This window comes from Homo sapiens, chromosome 8 (assembly GCF_000001405.40).
Source record: "Homo sapiens chromosome 8, GRCh38.p14 Primary Assembly".
Taxonomy (NCBI): domain Eukaryota; kingdom Metazoa; phylum Chordata; class Mammalia; order Primates; family Hominidae; genus Homo; species Homo sapiens.
The window spans coordinates 37,390,906-37,403,245 of record NC_000008.11 but is presented as its reverse complement, the minus strand read 5'-3'; the positions used below and the strand labels follow the sequence as shown (position 1 = coordinate 37,403,245).

The following is a 12,340-nucleotide window of genomic DNA, read 5'->3' as shown; positions in this document are numbered from 1 at the left end:
TCAGCACAGGCCTTTAAAAGAAAAGCAATTATATTTAATATCTTTAAATAGATAAAAGAGGGCATTATATGCATGAAAGAAGAATAGGAAATTATAAAACAAGGACAGTTTTTTTTTTTTTTTTTTTTGATAGGGTCTCACTCTGTTGCTTAGTGTGGAGTGCAGTGAATGGCGTGATCATAGCTCACTGCAGCCTTGAACTCCTGGACAATCCTCCCGCCTCAGCTTCCCAAAGAGCTAGGAGTACAGGCACATGCTATGATGCTCAGCTAATTAACATTGTGTATGTGTGTGTGTGTGTGTGTGTGTGTGTGTGTGTGTGTGTGTGTAAAAATAGGATCTTGCTATGCTGCCCATGCTGGTCTTAAACTTCTGGTTTCAAGTGATCTTTCTGCCTCGGCTTCCCAAAGTGCTGGGATTACAGGCATGAGCCACTGTACCCAGCCCAAAATTGTTTTATATGAGACTAGTTAAAGAGCTTAAAGATGAACCATATGATTACTAAGGAACAGAATGGATTCAATCAAATTTTTATTAAAGCCCACCAGGTGCTCTCTGCTATCTGATGCAGGGGATACAATAATGGACAAAACCAGACATGGCCTCTGGACTCACATACTAATAAGTAAGAAAGGAATTTGTACAATAACCACACCAACCAATTTCAGACTGGGTTTGATGATGAGATGATTAGGGGGGTCAGGCAGAGCTTCCCTAGGGGAGTGACAACAGAGTTGAGATCTCAAGGATGAGTCGGAATTAACCAGGTGAAAAGGGAGAGTGAGTTCCAGGTAGAAAGGGCAGAATATGTAAATGTGCAAATCTAAGAGAATGCAGCAAGGCTGTGGTAGGTGGGCCAGAAAGACTGAGGGGGAGCCTTAGAGAGTCTAAGGTTGGGGAAGGGGTGAAGCAGGGACAGATCATGTCAACAAGAAGCCTTTATAATTTTGGACTTTAAGCCAACTTTTGTTAGGAAGGAAGGAAAATTCTGTTTTTGCAAAAAGAGATTTAAAACCCTCCTCCCATTATCCAGTATTCAGAATACTTTTCCTCAGAGAGAAAATGCAAACTTCAGGTTCGAGAAGGAGAGTTTTATTATCACACAGCTCACAGTCAGCGTTTTGCTGAGCACAGGAGGAAGTGAAACTGCCCATAGAAATCATGCAGTGATAAAACTGAGAGATGGGGCCCTTGGGGACCGCAGGTGGCAATTGTGCCAGTTGAGACAGGGACAGCCCCTGTGATCCATGTTCATGCTGAGGTTAAACAGAGCCCAGGCAGTGGGGAGGGGAAAACAAGGCAGCAACCTCTGAAAGAAGTAGATATGGCATGAGGAGGGAGGGAGAGAGGCACAGAGGAAGATAGAGACAGAGACAGAGAGAAGGAGGAGAAGAGGGCACACACTTAGTTCACGATGCCTTTGAGTTCTCTATTCCAGTTCTTATGAGGCCTTGCTGAGCTAGTGTTCTACTTTGTGGGTTTCCATGAACTTCCTTTTAAGGTTCCGCTTATATTCTTACAGCTAATCCCTTTTTAATCTCCTGAGAAAAGAAAGAAAACGAAGTAGAATGATAACTATTTTCTACTTAAAGACTGCCATATTCACAGGGAATAAGCAAAGGCTGAGATTTAGTAACAGTGTTCTTGTAATAAGAGGCTTGACATTCTAGCCTGACAGCAAGGAATAAAAGCAGAAGAACATTTTTCCTGGACCATAACCATTCCCTTAGCTGGTGGAATAAAGGTTATTGCCACATCCCTAAAGAAGAGCAGCTGAAGACATATAATAATTCTGTAATCTGTATAGTCAGATGCATATCAATATTTTGGTACTCTTTGATTTTTATACAAAATATGACTTTAGCCATTCTTAACCTCTTAATATCTTCTTCATACAGACACTAAAATAATTTTTGAAATATTACTGTAGACTAGCACTTCCCAAATAGTGTTCCTTGAAAGGCTATCATCTCTAGATATATAACTGTACTTTGTGTGATAAAAGACTAGTTGGTTAAAAAAATTGGGAAACACTCTTGGAGATTCAAAATGCACATTTGTATATTAAAGGCTCTGAGAAGTCCTTCAGTGAAGAAGCTTGTTGAACTTTAACCCAGCATGCCCCAAATTCATTTAACTATTTTCGCCCATGCTGGAGTGCAGTGGTGCGGTCTTGGCTCACTGCAACATCTGCCTCCTGGGTTCAAGTGACTCTCCTGCCTCAGCCTCCAAAGTAGCTGGGATTATAGCCACCTGCCACCATGACCAGCTAATTTTTGTATTTTTAGTAGAGACGGGGTTTCACCATGTTGGCCAGGCTGGTCTTGAACTCCTGACCTCAAGTGATCCACCCTCCTTGGCCTCCCAAGGTGTTGGGATTACAGGCGTGAGCCACTGTGCCTGGCCTAACTATGAAACCTTTTTTTTTAATGAGCACCTATTAAAATCCTTCTGGACACAAATAATATGAGGAATAGAGCTTAGGAAACACTGTTATTATTCTAAGAATGTTCATGTGGGCTATGGTGTGGTAAAGTTGGCATGACCGCAAGAGGGAATGAGAATAAAGCTTGAAAAGAAAAAGTTGATTATACTCACAGATCCCAGAGAGGAATTCGCCACATGCCATACTGGGCCACAGGAGAAGCACCAGGTTTGGGTCAGGTGGCAGAAGACAAGAGTGCGGGGAGAGCCTGAGATAGAGCTGGGGTTTCTGCGGGAAACGCAAGGCAGGGCAGAGTGGACAGATTAGGGCTGACTAGTTTGAATAATTCTGGTGGGCTTTGAGCTATAGCAGTGGTCTCTAGTTGCCTGGTACCTGGCACTGGGATGATTTAGGACAGAGGAAATATTGGCTTGATATGTGAGAGTTATAGAAGGAGGTGGTTGAGGCTAGAGATGTGGGATTGGTTTGTTTGTACATAAGAAACATACTCCTTGCTGAGTCTTTTACTGAGACTAAGAAGGGACTGGCCAGGAAGGAACAGTCTCCCCTTGGTCAGAAAGCTTTTTAAGATGTCAAAACATCACAAAATGTAAAAAATACAAAAACACAATCAATACAGTGATACAGGGATATTTTGGATGAGTGTACCCTGATTGACTTCAAAAGTCTAGATTTTGGAGACCAAAGTGGGCAAAAACCAAGTAAGATGAGCAATTCCTCATTAAAAAATTTTGTTTTTATTGTATCAATCACAGTCTAGTCAGAAAAAGAAACCAACCTATGTATTTCATACAGAGGATATTTAATACAGGCAATAGGCTACAACGATCTTAGACAGTCAAAGAGCAAAAAAGGGGAAATTAAGGTAAATCAGATATTATCTAGGGCTGGAGGAACAAAAGAATGGTGATGGGGTTTCCAGAACCTAAGAGCACAGAAAGTGGATTACAGCCTCAAAAGCGTGATGGTGGTGATGTGTGCCTGTAGTGCCAGCTACTTGGGAGGCTGAGATGGGAAGATCACTAGAGCCTGGGGAGGTTGAGGCTTCAGTGAGCCATGATCACACCACTGCACTCCAGCCTGAGTGACAGACCAAGACCCTGTCTCAAAAGAAGTAAAAAGCTGAGATGGTGGAAGAAACACTATCAGAAGAAGAAAGGAGAGAAGCAGGAGAAGAGAGAGAGACAGAGAGAGAAAGAGAGAGAGAGAGAGAGAGAGAAACAAAGACATCTCCCTTCCTCTCTTGTCTTGATTTTCCTGCCAGTTAGACAAAACTTAACTGGAAGCCAACTGCCAAAGAGATCTGGGAAATGTAGTTTTCAGACTTCCAGCCCCATTATTATAGAGGGAAGTTATGGGACCATGCTTAACAAAGCTCAGTTTTGGCTTGGGGCAGTTTTGTAAAGAGCTACATATTACTAGCTATTATTATGAGGCTATTGTTCAAGTCTTAATGGATCTGCCAAACAATCATTTTGACTTATACTCTCTTCTAAATTAATTAGTAGTTTGACTAATCAGTGTGATCATTTAAGGCCAACATGCCCCAAGGGAAAACGTGTAAATAAGTTTTTTTGAATTATTCAAATAAGAGAAAATTCTATTTGAAAAAGAAGTCTCTAGCAGTAAAACTTTTCACAGAAAAAAACCCCCAAAACCACACCTGAAAAGAACCTGAATGTTTAATAATAGGTGATGAACTAGGATAATTTTAGTATATTACTTAGACTCTTATGTATTTATCACAAATAATTAGTGTTGGTGTTACATAAGAAAACCCATTCTTGGGGAAGGATTAAATGCTAACCAAAGCAACTTATTTTTAATTAATATTTTTAGACTCTATGCTGTCATACTGAACTCACTGCTAGCTAAGAGACCTATCAGAGATTTAAATATATTTTCTCAAGGTTTTTTCTGGGTTTTCTTTTGGTTCTATCTATGTGACAGAGGCTCTTTCTAAAAGTATGTAGTTCACTGTGTGTTGGCTCCAGCAGTAACCATCCTCACTGCACCACACACTCCTCTGTAGAAGTGCATTCAGTGGGAGTTCCCTCCGGCCCCAGGACGGCAGCAGCAGCCAAGTGCTGAGTGGATTGAGTGCCAGGTGGATCCGAGACTTTTCCTCCCTTCCAGAAGGCACTAGAAGCTCCTCTAACTGAAGGCAGGGTGGGTCATGTGGGGCCGGCTGAAATGCTCCAACTTTTTCATAAAGCATGGGTGGTCCAGTTTAGACTGATGGGAATCTTCCTGTTATTCTTTTTAAATGGATGATACCGATGGAAATAAAAGGTGGAAAATATATTTAAAAAAAGAAAACCCATTCTTTTAAACAATATATATTGAGCACCTAACATATGCCAGGCACCATAATTAATGACAGGCATAAAAACACAGATGGGACCTTGGCCTCTGTTCTTATGGTTCCTGTAATCCCATGGAGGAGATAGCCTTATAAACATGAAAAAGGGTTTACAACTTACCTAAGAAATTAGAATGGCAAATTTTTATGTATACAAATTTTCTATAATGAACATGTATTATATGTATAATAAAAGTAGTAAATTCTTGTAATATAGTTTTTATAACTATGTAAAATACGTAATTATTAGTAGAGAACACAAAAGAGTGAAAATAATTGTGTTAGGGTAATCCTAATATGATATTCAGTTTTATTTCAACTTGGCCAGGTTATAGTCCCAATGATTTAGTTAAACATTAATCTAGATATTGCTGTGCAGGTATTTTGTAGATGTGGTTGACATCTTCCATCAGTTGATCTTATGTAAAGGAGAGGTCCCTGGGTAATGCGGGTGGGCCTCATCCAATCAGCTGGAAGGCCTTAAGGGAAGACACTGAGGTTTCCTGAATAAGAAATTCTCCCTGAAGGCTGTAGCATCAGCACTAGTCACAATAGCAAAGACATAGAATGAACCCAGGTGCCTACCAATGGTGGATTGGATAAAGAAAATGTGGTACATGTACACCATAAAATACTACACAGCCATAAAAAAGAATGAAACCATGTCTTTTGCATCGACGTGGATGCAGATGAAGGCCGTTTTCCTAAGTGAATTAATGCAGAAACAGAAAACAAAATATCACATATTCTCACCTATAAGTGAGAGCTAAACATTGAGTACACATGGACATAAAGATAGGACTCCAAAAGGGGGAAGAAGGGAGGGGGACAAGGGTTGAAAAACTCCCTATTGGGTACTCTGTTCACTATCTGAGTGATGGGACCAATAGAAGCCCAAACTTCAGCATCAGGCAGTATGCTCTTGTAACAAACCTGCACATGTACTCCCTGAATCTAAAATTTTTTTTCAAAGACTACAGCATCAGCTCCTGCTGCAGCCTCCTGGGCTGTCTTTGGATTTTGGACTTGTGTGAGCCAGTTCCTTAAAATAAACATCTTTATTTCATATGTATATGTATATATTACACACACACACACACACACACACACACACTTACCTTCTGTTGGTTCTGTTTTTCTGGAGAACCTGACTGATACAGCTACTGCCTTTTTCTTTTAAATAGTCCTTAATTTAATGTTGGTTTTATCATGTATAATTTCTTTAAAGGATCTTCTGCCTTTATGAGCCCCTTTGACTATCTTTTCTCAGTCCTCCAGCAACTTCTGCCCACCATTGGCTTACAGATTCCCAAAGCCTGTCTGTTAAGGCAGAATCTAATGGAGACAAAGGCCAGAGTGTCTTAACTTGCATATTTCCTTTTTTCTCTCCAAACTGGCTACTGAGCAAGGGCAGTGGTGGCTCTCAGGCTCAAGGCCAGAACAGCTCTGTGCATGCCTGGACTCCATCAGCCCTTTGTTGGATCCCAGAGAGCTGTGCTCCCATCAAGGGACAGTGGCCCATCGAGGGCAGTATTTTTTGACAACCCAGGGCAGTTTGGCTAAGACTAGTACAAAAGTCCCAGGAGCCCTGGGTGGTGTGCCATCCCCAGCATTCTTCAACCCCCACCTCACCTAGAAGGGGATTGGACAGTGAGCTGTTAGTGATTCACTCTTCAGTCTGAAGCATGGTCTTGTATTTCTTGAGAGGTGGCATTGTCAAATAAACGCAGGTTCTGGGAACAGAACCTTGGGTTGCAATTTCAGCTGAGCCACTTTCTGGCTGTGTGAGTGCATCAAATTTATTTAACCATGTTGTGACTCTGTTTCTCATCTGTGAAGTGGGAATATCTATTCAACCAAACTTGCAGGGTTGTGGTGAAGATGTCATATATAATGTGTAATTTTCTAGCACATAGTAGGGGATCCCACAAATTGTAATCACTATGATGATTATATCTTTGAGGGTGAGGATGAATTTTGGAAAAGCCTTTGTACACCTTTCCTAAGAAGTGGAGACCATATCACCTCCCACATCCAGCTGAGGATAAAGAAAGAAAGGATGCTTGCAAAGCACACTGAACCCTGAGAGGATGCCAGGATTTCACTGTCATTTAATATTGCCACCATGTTGGTTAATAACATATTGACCAACTCTACAAATAGTAGAGTAAATTTACTATCACTCAGAAATTTTGTTTTTGCAGCTATGTTCTTCTCCCAGAAAATATGCAAACAGTAAATAAATAGCTCTTCTCTTTTTCTTTCTTTCTTTCTTTCTTTCTTTCTTTCTTTCTTTCTTTCTTTCTTTCTTTCTTTCTTTCTTTCTTCTTTTTTCTTCTTTCTTTCTTTCTTTTTTTTCTTTCTTTTTTTTTTTTTTTTACCTCCTGCATCATATTTATAATTATCTTGGCTTGGTGGACAGGTGCCTGTTTGTGCTCCCACATTCTCCTAGGCCCCAGGACTCAATGTTAGTCAGCTTTCATATATCTGCATGTGGATTATCCACTTAATGAGGCATCTGCCAGGAAAGTTTTAATCCTAACCAAGCTTTCTCCTAGCATCTCCCTCTCCCTCTTTTCCCTCCCTCAGCCCTCACCCAGCTGATGTGTGCTTAGGAAATGCAAACTAATTTTAAAATTCTCTAGAGCAAAACATGATTAGAATGGTTAAGTCTGCTGCCAAAAATAAAATCAGCTAATGCATTCCATATATTTAGATTTCCAAAATTAAGTTGAAAGGATGCTTAGTTCATCCAAAGTTTGGTTGATACACATCATCCCGTATCTCTGCTAGTTGACCCTACTTTTTCTGGCAGCAATAAATTTGGCTGTCCTGCAAATGGCATCACCTTTTCCACATCCCAGGGCAGTATTTTTCCTCTCTCAGCCTGCTGAAAATGGGGTCCCATTCCCTGTCCAAGATGGTGAAGAACCTCTACCATGCTGGGGAGAAGCAGCAACCAAGAAACACTTCTGGCTCTGTCTAAACTTAGGTTCTCCTCTTCTTTCATTCCATCTATTCAGCTTTGCTGGATGGTCATGGATTCATCTGGGGAAAGGTGCTTCAGTTAAACCAAGTGCTGGTACTAAGAGATATGAGAAAGTCTTAGAAGTCATGTTGTTGCCCGCAAGGAGCTCACAATCTCTTTGCGGAGACAAGATTAGCATTACAGTACAGCGTACATGACAAAATACAATTGATTGCTAAATTTTTTGGCAGAGAATATAAGGAGAAACCTAAGGGAGAGATTATCAGAAGGGCTGGAGCAGTTTTCATGATGAAGGAGGCACTTGTGTTGGGAGGAGGATAGGTTACGGGAATCGAGAGGGCATCTCCGGTGAAATAATCAACTGGAGCAAATGTAACAATGTAGAAATGAGCAAGGCTCATGGTTGCAGGACAACAAAAGAAATTAGCTTGACTTGAATAGAAGCACTGTATTAGGGAGTTGTAGAAAGTAGAGGTGTTTTAAGACTCTTTTGGTTGTAGGGAGCAAAAAAACCAATCTGATCTATTTTAAGAAAAAAGGGGAATTTATTTGAAGGATATAAAGGGATGTCATGGGCCTCAAGGACAGTGGTGCATGGAAAATTGTGTCTGGATCCAGGAAGTTCTCACGGCATCTCTTGTCTTCATTCCTCTGCAGAGCTAACTTCTTCAGTTGCCCGCAGCATCTTGAGTGCTCTCATTCATTTTCCAGTCTACTGGCTGTTATTCTACCTCAATTCCAAATTCCTGGGAGAGAGAGAACCTGTGGGGTTGCACTGTGTAAGCACAGACATGGCTGCTGGTGCCCCTCCTGGGTGGGAGGGTTGGAGTGGCGAGGGAGTTGGGGTCAGTCCTAGGAAAGGAGAAAAAGAGTGAATTCAACAGGTGAGTGAGAATGGCTAGGACAGGCCACCTGCCATTTGCTTCTTTCAGAGTCTGTGAGGAAAACTGGGTGAAAAGACTCCAGTTGTTTGGGATTCTATAAGGTATCCCACTTTCGGTAACTCTTGAAAAATCCCAATTTTGAAAGCAGAGAAACTGGCTTGTGACTACTCACTTCGTGAAACAGATAAACCACAATCCCTTTCAGCTCTCAGTGACGCTTTCCCATTAGGTTTCTAATTATGCCCATCTTATCTGTAATGCACCCTTAATTTGGGGAACTTCCTTTAGTGGGATTCAGGGTCCCACCCTGGGCCCAACCCAGGGCCCAACCCAGGCCCGGCACCCTCCATGCTGGGAGGACCCAGGAGGGAGAGATGCTCATCGCAGTTGGCCAATGGCTGCCTGCTGGTTGAAATGTGAGCTTCCTGAGGGCAGGAATAGGTCCTCTAGACACCTTTATATCCATCCGATGCCTGCTACGTATTGATACTAATGAATGCTTATTGAGCAGAATGAATAAAGTCAGTTCCCAGATATAAGAAATTCATAGCCAAGGAGCAGCTTAAGGAGAATATAGCTTTATTATAAATGAGGGAAATAATCATAGTAATATGTCCCTTCCTGCAGAAACATTATATATGGCACTACTTCTGGTCCTGCCAACAGTGTCTCTTGCGGGCTGGATGACCCCAAGTTCTATTTAGATTTAGGGCATATTTTGACTGACCCACCTCAAATCGTGCCCTGAGACCTTTCGAATATCTTCCATCCAAAGGGGAGTCCCATGCCAAGCTGACCCCATGTGTGGCTGCCTCGCTTTGGGAAGGGTGGGAAGCTGGCTTCAGTCACCAGAAAGAAAAACCCCACCCCTCCCATGGTGGCCCAGGGGCGGGGTGGGCGGGGTGGGGTAGAGAGAAGGAACCGACCTCCCCCAACCTACCAGCCCCCGGGTTCAGCCGGCTCCAGGTGAAAGGCGGTCCAGAGGTTGGCCCACCCTGGCGAACTCCTTGCCTTCCAAGAGAAGAAGACGACAAATGAGACAAAATGAAAAATATAATGATGCATATTATATTAATCATCCTCTCTTTTTCTGACACAATAAATCTTCTCTTTAAACTCAGGGTAGCGATTGCATCATCTCCCTCTCCCCTCGAAACAGCACAGATTAAGATAAAGTGATAGTGCTGTGTCAAAGAGAGCTTTACTGCCACACTTGGGATACAAAGAGAGAGGTTAATTTATCATCGCTGGGGAGAACTGACAGAAGAGAGATATACTACCGAAAGGGGATTTAGCACAGGGCCAAGAAACTTCACACTATTTTTACCATCTGTCACATGCTCTAACAAAGCAGGGCAAAATATGAAGAAAGGAAAAATGAACTATCAAACACTGATGTAATGCAGCCCATAAATCTAATTTAATTACTTTGCATGGAGACAGGTCCTCGAGTCTGTGTGAATATACTGGATTTTCTTGGCAACTTAACAACTAAGTGTTTTAATAACATCACACTATAATTTATTCTGCTTGAAACACAAAACCCCTTTTGTGAGAGTTTCATTTTTGAGAACTGTTAATTTTTTCGGCTAATGTCAAAACTGGCATAAATTCACATGTGAACTTGAAGCCTGACTGTGAAAAAGGCTTAGGTTACTGCATGCCTTTTTATTGTTTGGCACTTTTTCCCCCTTCTGCATGCATTAGAAATAATTGGGCTTTGTTGATGACTTAGGTGAGGAGAGTTGTCTTGCAATTAGGTTTAAATATAATGACAAAGGGTGTGTGGGGGAAATCTTTGTAAAATATAAAGAGGTAAGAAAATGCAATGGGGAAAAAATCCTTATTTTCCAGCAGAATAGCAAAACCTCAAGTGCAATATTCCTGGAATCAGGCTGTCCCCAGAACTATGAGAATTTCACTCTGGAGGATGTAAGATCACAGGGCCAAAGGGACGCTGGGAAGGCAGGTCTGCCCTAGAGGGAACAACCAGGAGGAGAAAATAAATCAAAAATAAAATTAATATTCATTGGGTGTCTTCCCGAATTTGGATGCAGTTACAGAAATTATTGTTAATAATGAAACCCATATATCAAAGGTTATAAAATTCATCTGTGCTAGGACACTATTTTTTTTAGGCTTTGTTCTGAACCATTAAAGATGACATATTGCATTTGTGTGCCTCTGTGTATAATAAGATACATTTAGGTCTGAATCTAACCTAAACTGGCAATTTTGGCATTGAACTCAAGTTCTTAAATGGGGGCCACGACACTACAGTCCAGGGGAGGTCAGCTGAACCCATCCGTTCTCCCATGACCTCACCCACTAAGGCAGGATGGATGGGTAATTAATTTGTTAGATCATCAGTGATTCATGTTGGAAAAATAAAACTCTAAGCCTCTTGACAAATTCATTTGAAATATAATGGGAAAAAAGGATAAAAACTCCTATCCCCCCTCTCCAAAAAAATCCCAAATCCTCATGCTGAAAGCAAATCTAAATACAGAGATAGACAGTTTGCTGAAGTTCATTTATTTATTTCTTTCAGCAACACTGAATACATCCTTACCATATGAGAATCTTTGTCGGACACACCTTGGATGGAGGGGTACATGCAATCGGGTAGTAGAGATATATCAGACTGAAAAATGACTACAGTTTGGGACATTCTAAGAAAGTTTAACCTATCAGCTAATATCCATGGAGTTCATTGGGAGGGCAGATATGGAGTTGGTGATGGTATGGAATCTGGATAAAACAGAAGTGATTCATCTGGAAAATTCTTTTCTTTTTTTTTTTGAGACGAAGTTTCACTCTTTTTGCCCAGGCTGGAGTGCAATGGTGCAATCTTGGCTCGCCACAACCTCTGCCTCCCTGGTTCAAGCAATTCTCCTGCTTCAGCCTTTCTGAGTAGCTGGAATTACAGGCATGCACCACCATGCCCGGCTAATTTTGTATTTTTAGGAGAGACGGGGTTTCTTCATGTTTGTCAGGCTGGTCTCGAACTCCCGACCTCAGATGATCTGTCTGCCTCGGCCTCCCAAAGTGCTGGGATTACAGGCATGAGCCATCGCACCCAGCCCATCTGGAAAATTCTAACAAGTGTTAGACCCCCACCAGGAAATTGACCACAATCTGCATATTGTTGAATATTTACTGAATGTCATCAGTGATTTGGTCTATGTTAAATATCTAGGGCTATCCAAGGGCCTTGAAGCCAGGAAACTGAGGTGCAAACGTATTCAGAGAAGTGCTTTCAAATAAATTTATCTTCATGCCTTTTTCTGAAGTTCATATTCCCCAGTTCAGACTTGGAAAACACTCAATTCTTGTGGTTTCTTGTTCTGTTGAATTTGTGTGGGAGAGAAATGTCCAACCTTGAACTCTGAATGGAGCCCAGTGTGAAAAGTAGTGGTTTTCAGCTGTGCTATTTCAAATGCTCTCATTGGTATTTTTAAGGCTTCCCACATATTCGGTTACTGACCTGGGGCCTGGAATAGTGAACATTAAAAATAAAAAAACAACAACAAAAAAAAACTCAAGCCGCCAGTATTTACTTATGAACTGCCTTGGTTATAGCCCAGCAATCCAACTGCCTGAAAATTAGTGTACAAATTGGAAGTTTGAAGGGTTTCCTTTTTGTCATTTTGATTTCC

The 12,340-nt window shown here is 41.4% G+C and overlaps 1 annotated feature.

Annotated features, from left to right (window-relative positions):
- Window positions 9,582-11,170: an enhancer, noted in NCBI's record as "VISTA enhancer hs302". NCBI's record gives its function as "enhancer in: limb[8/11]" and the evidence as "EXISTENCE:transgenic organism evidence [ECO:0001131][PMID:17130149]".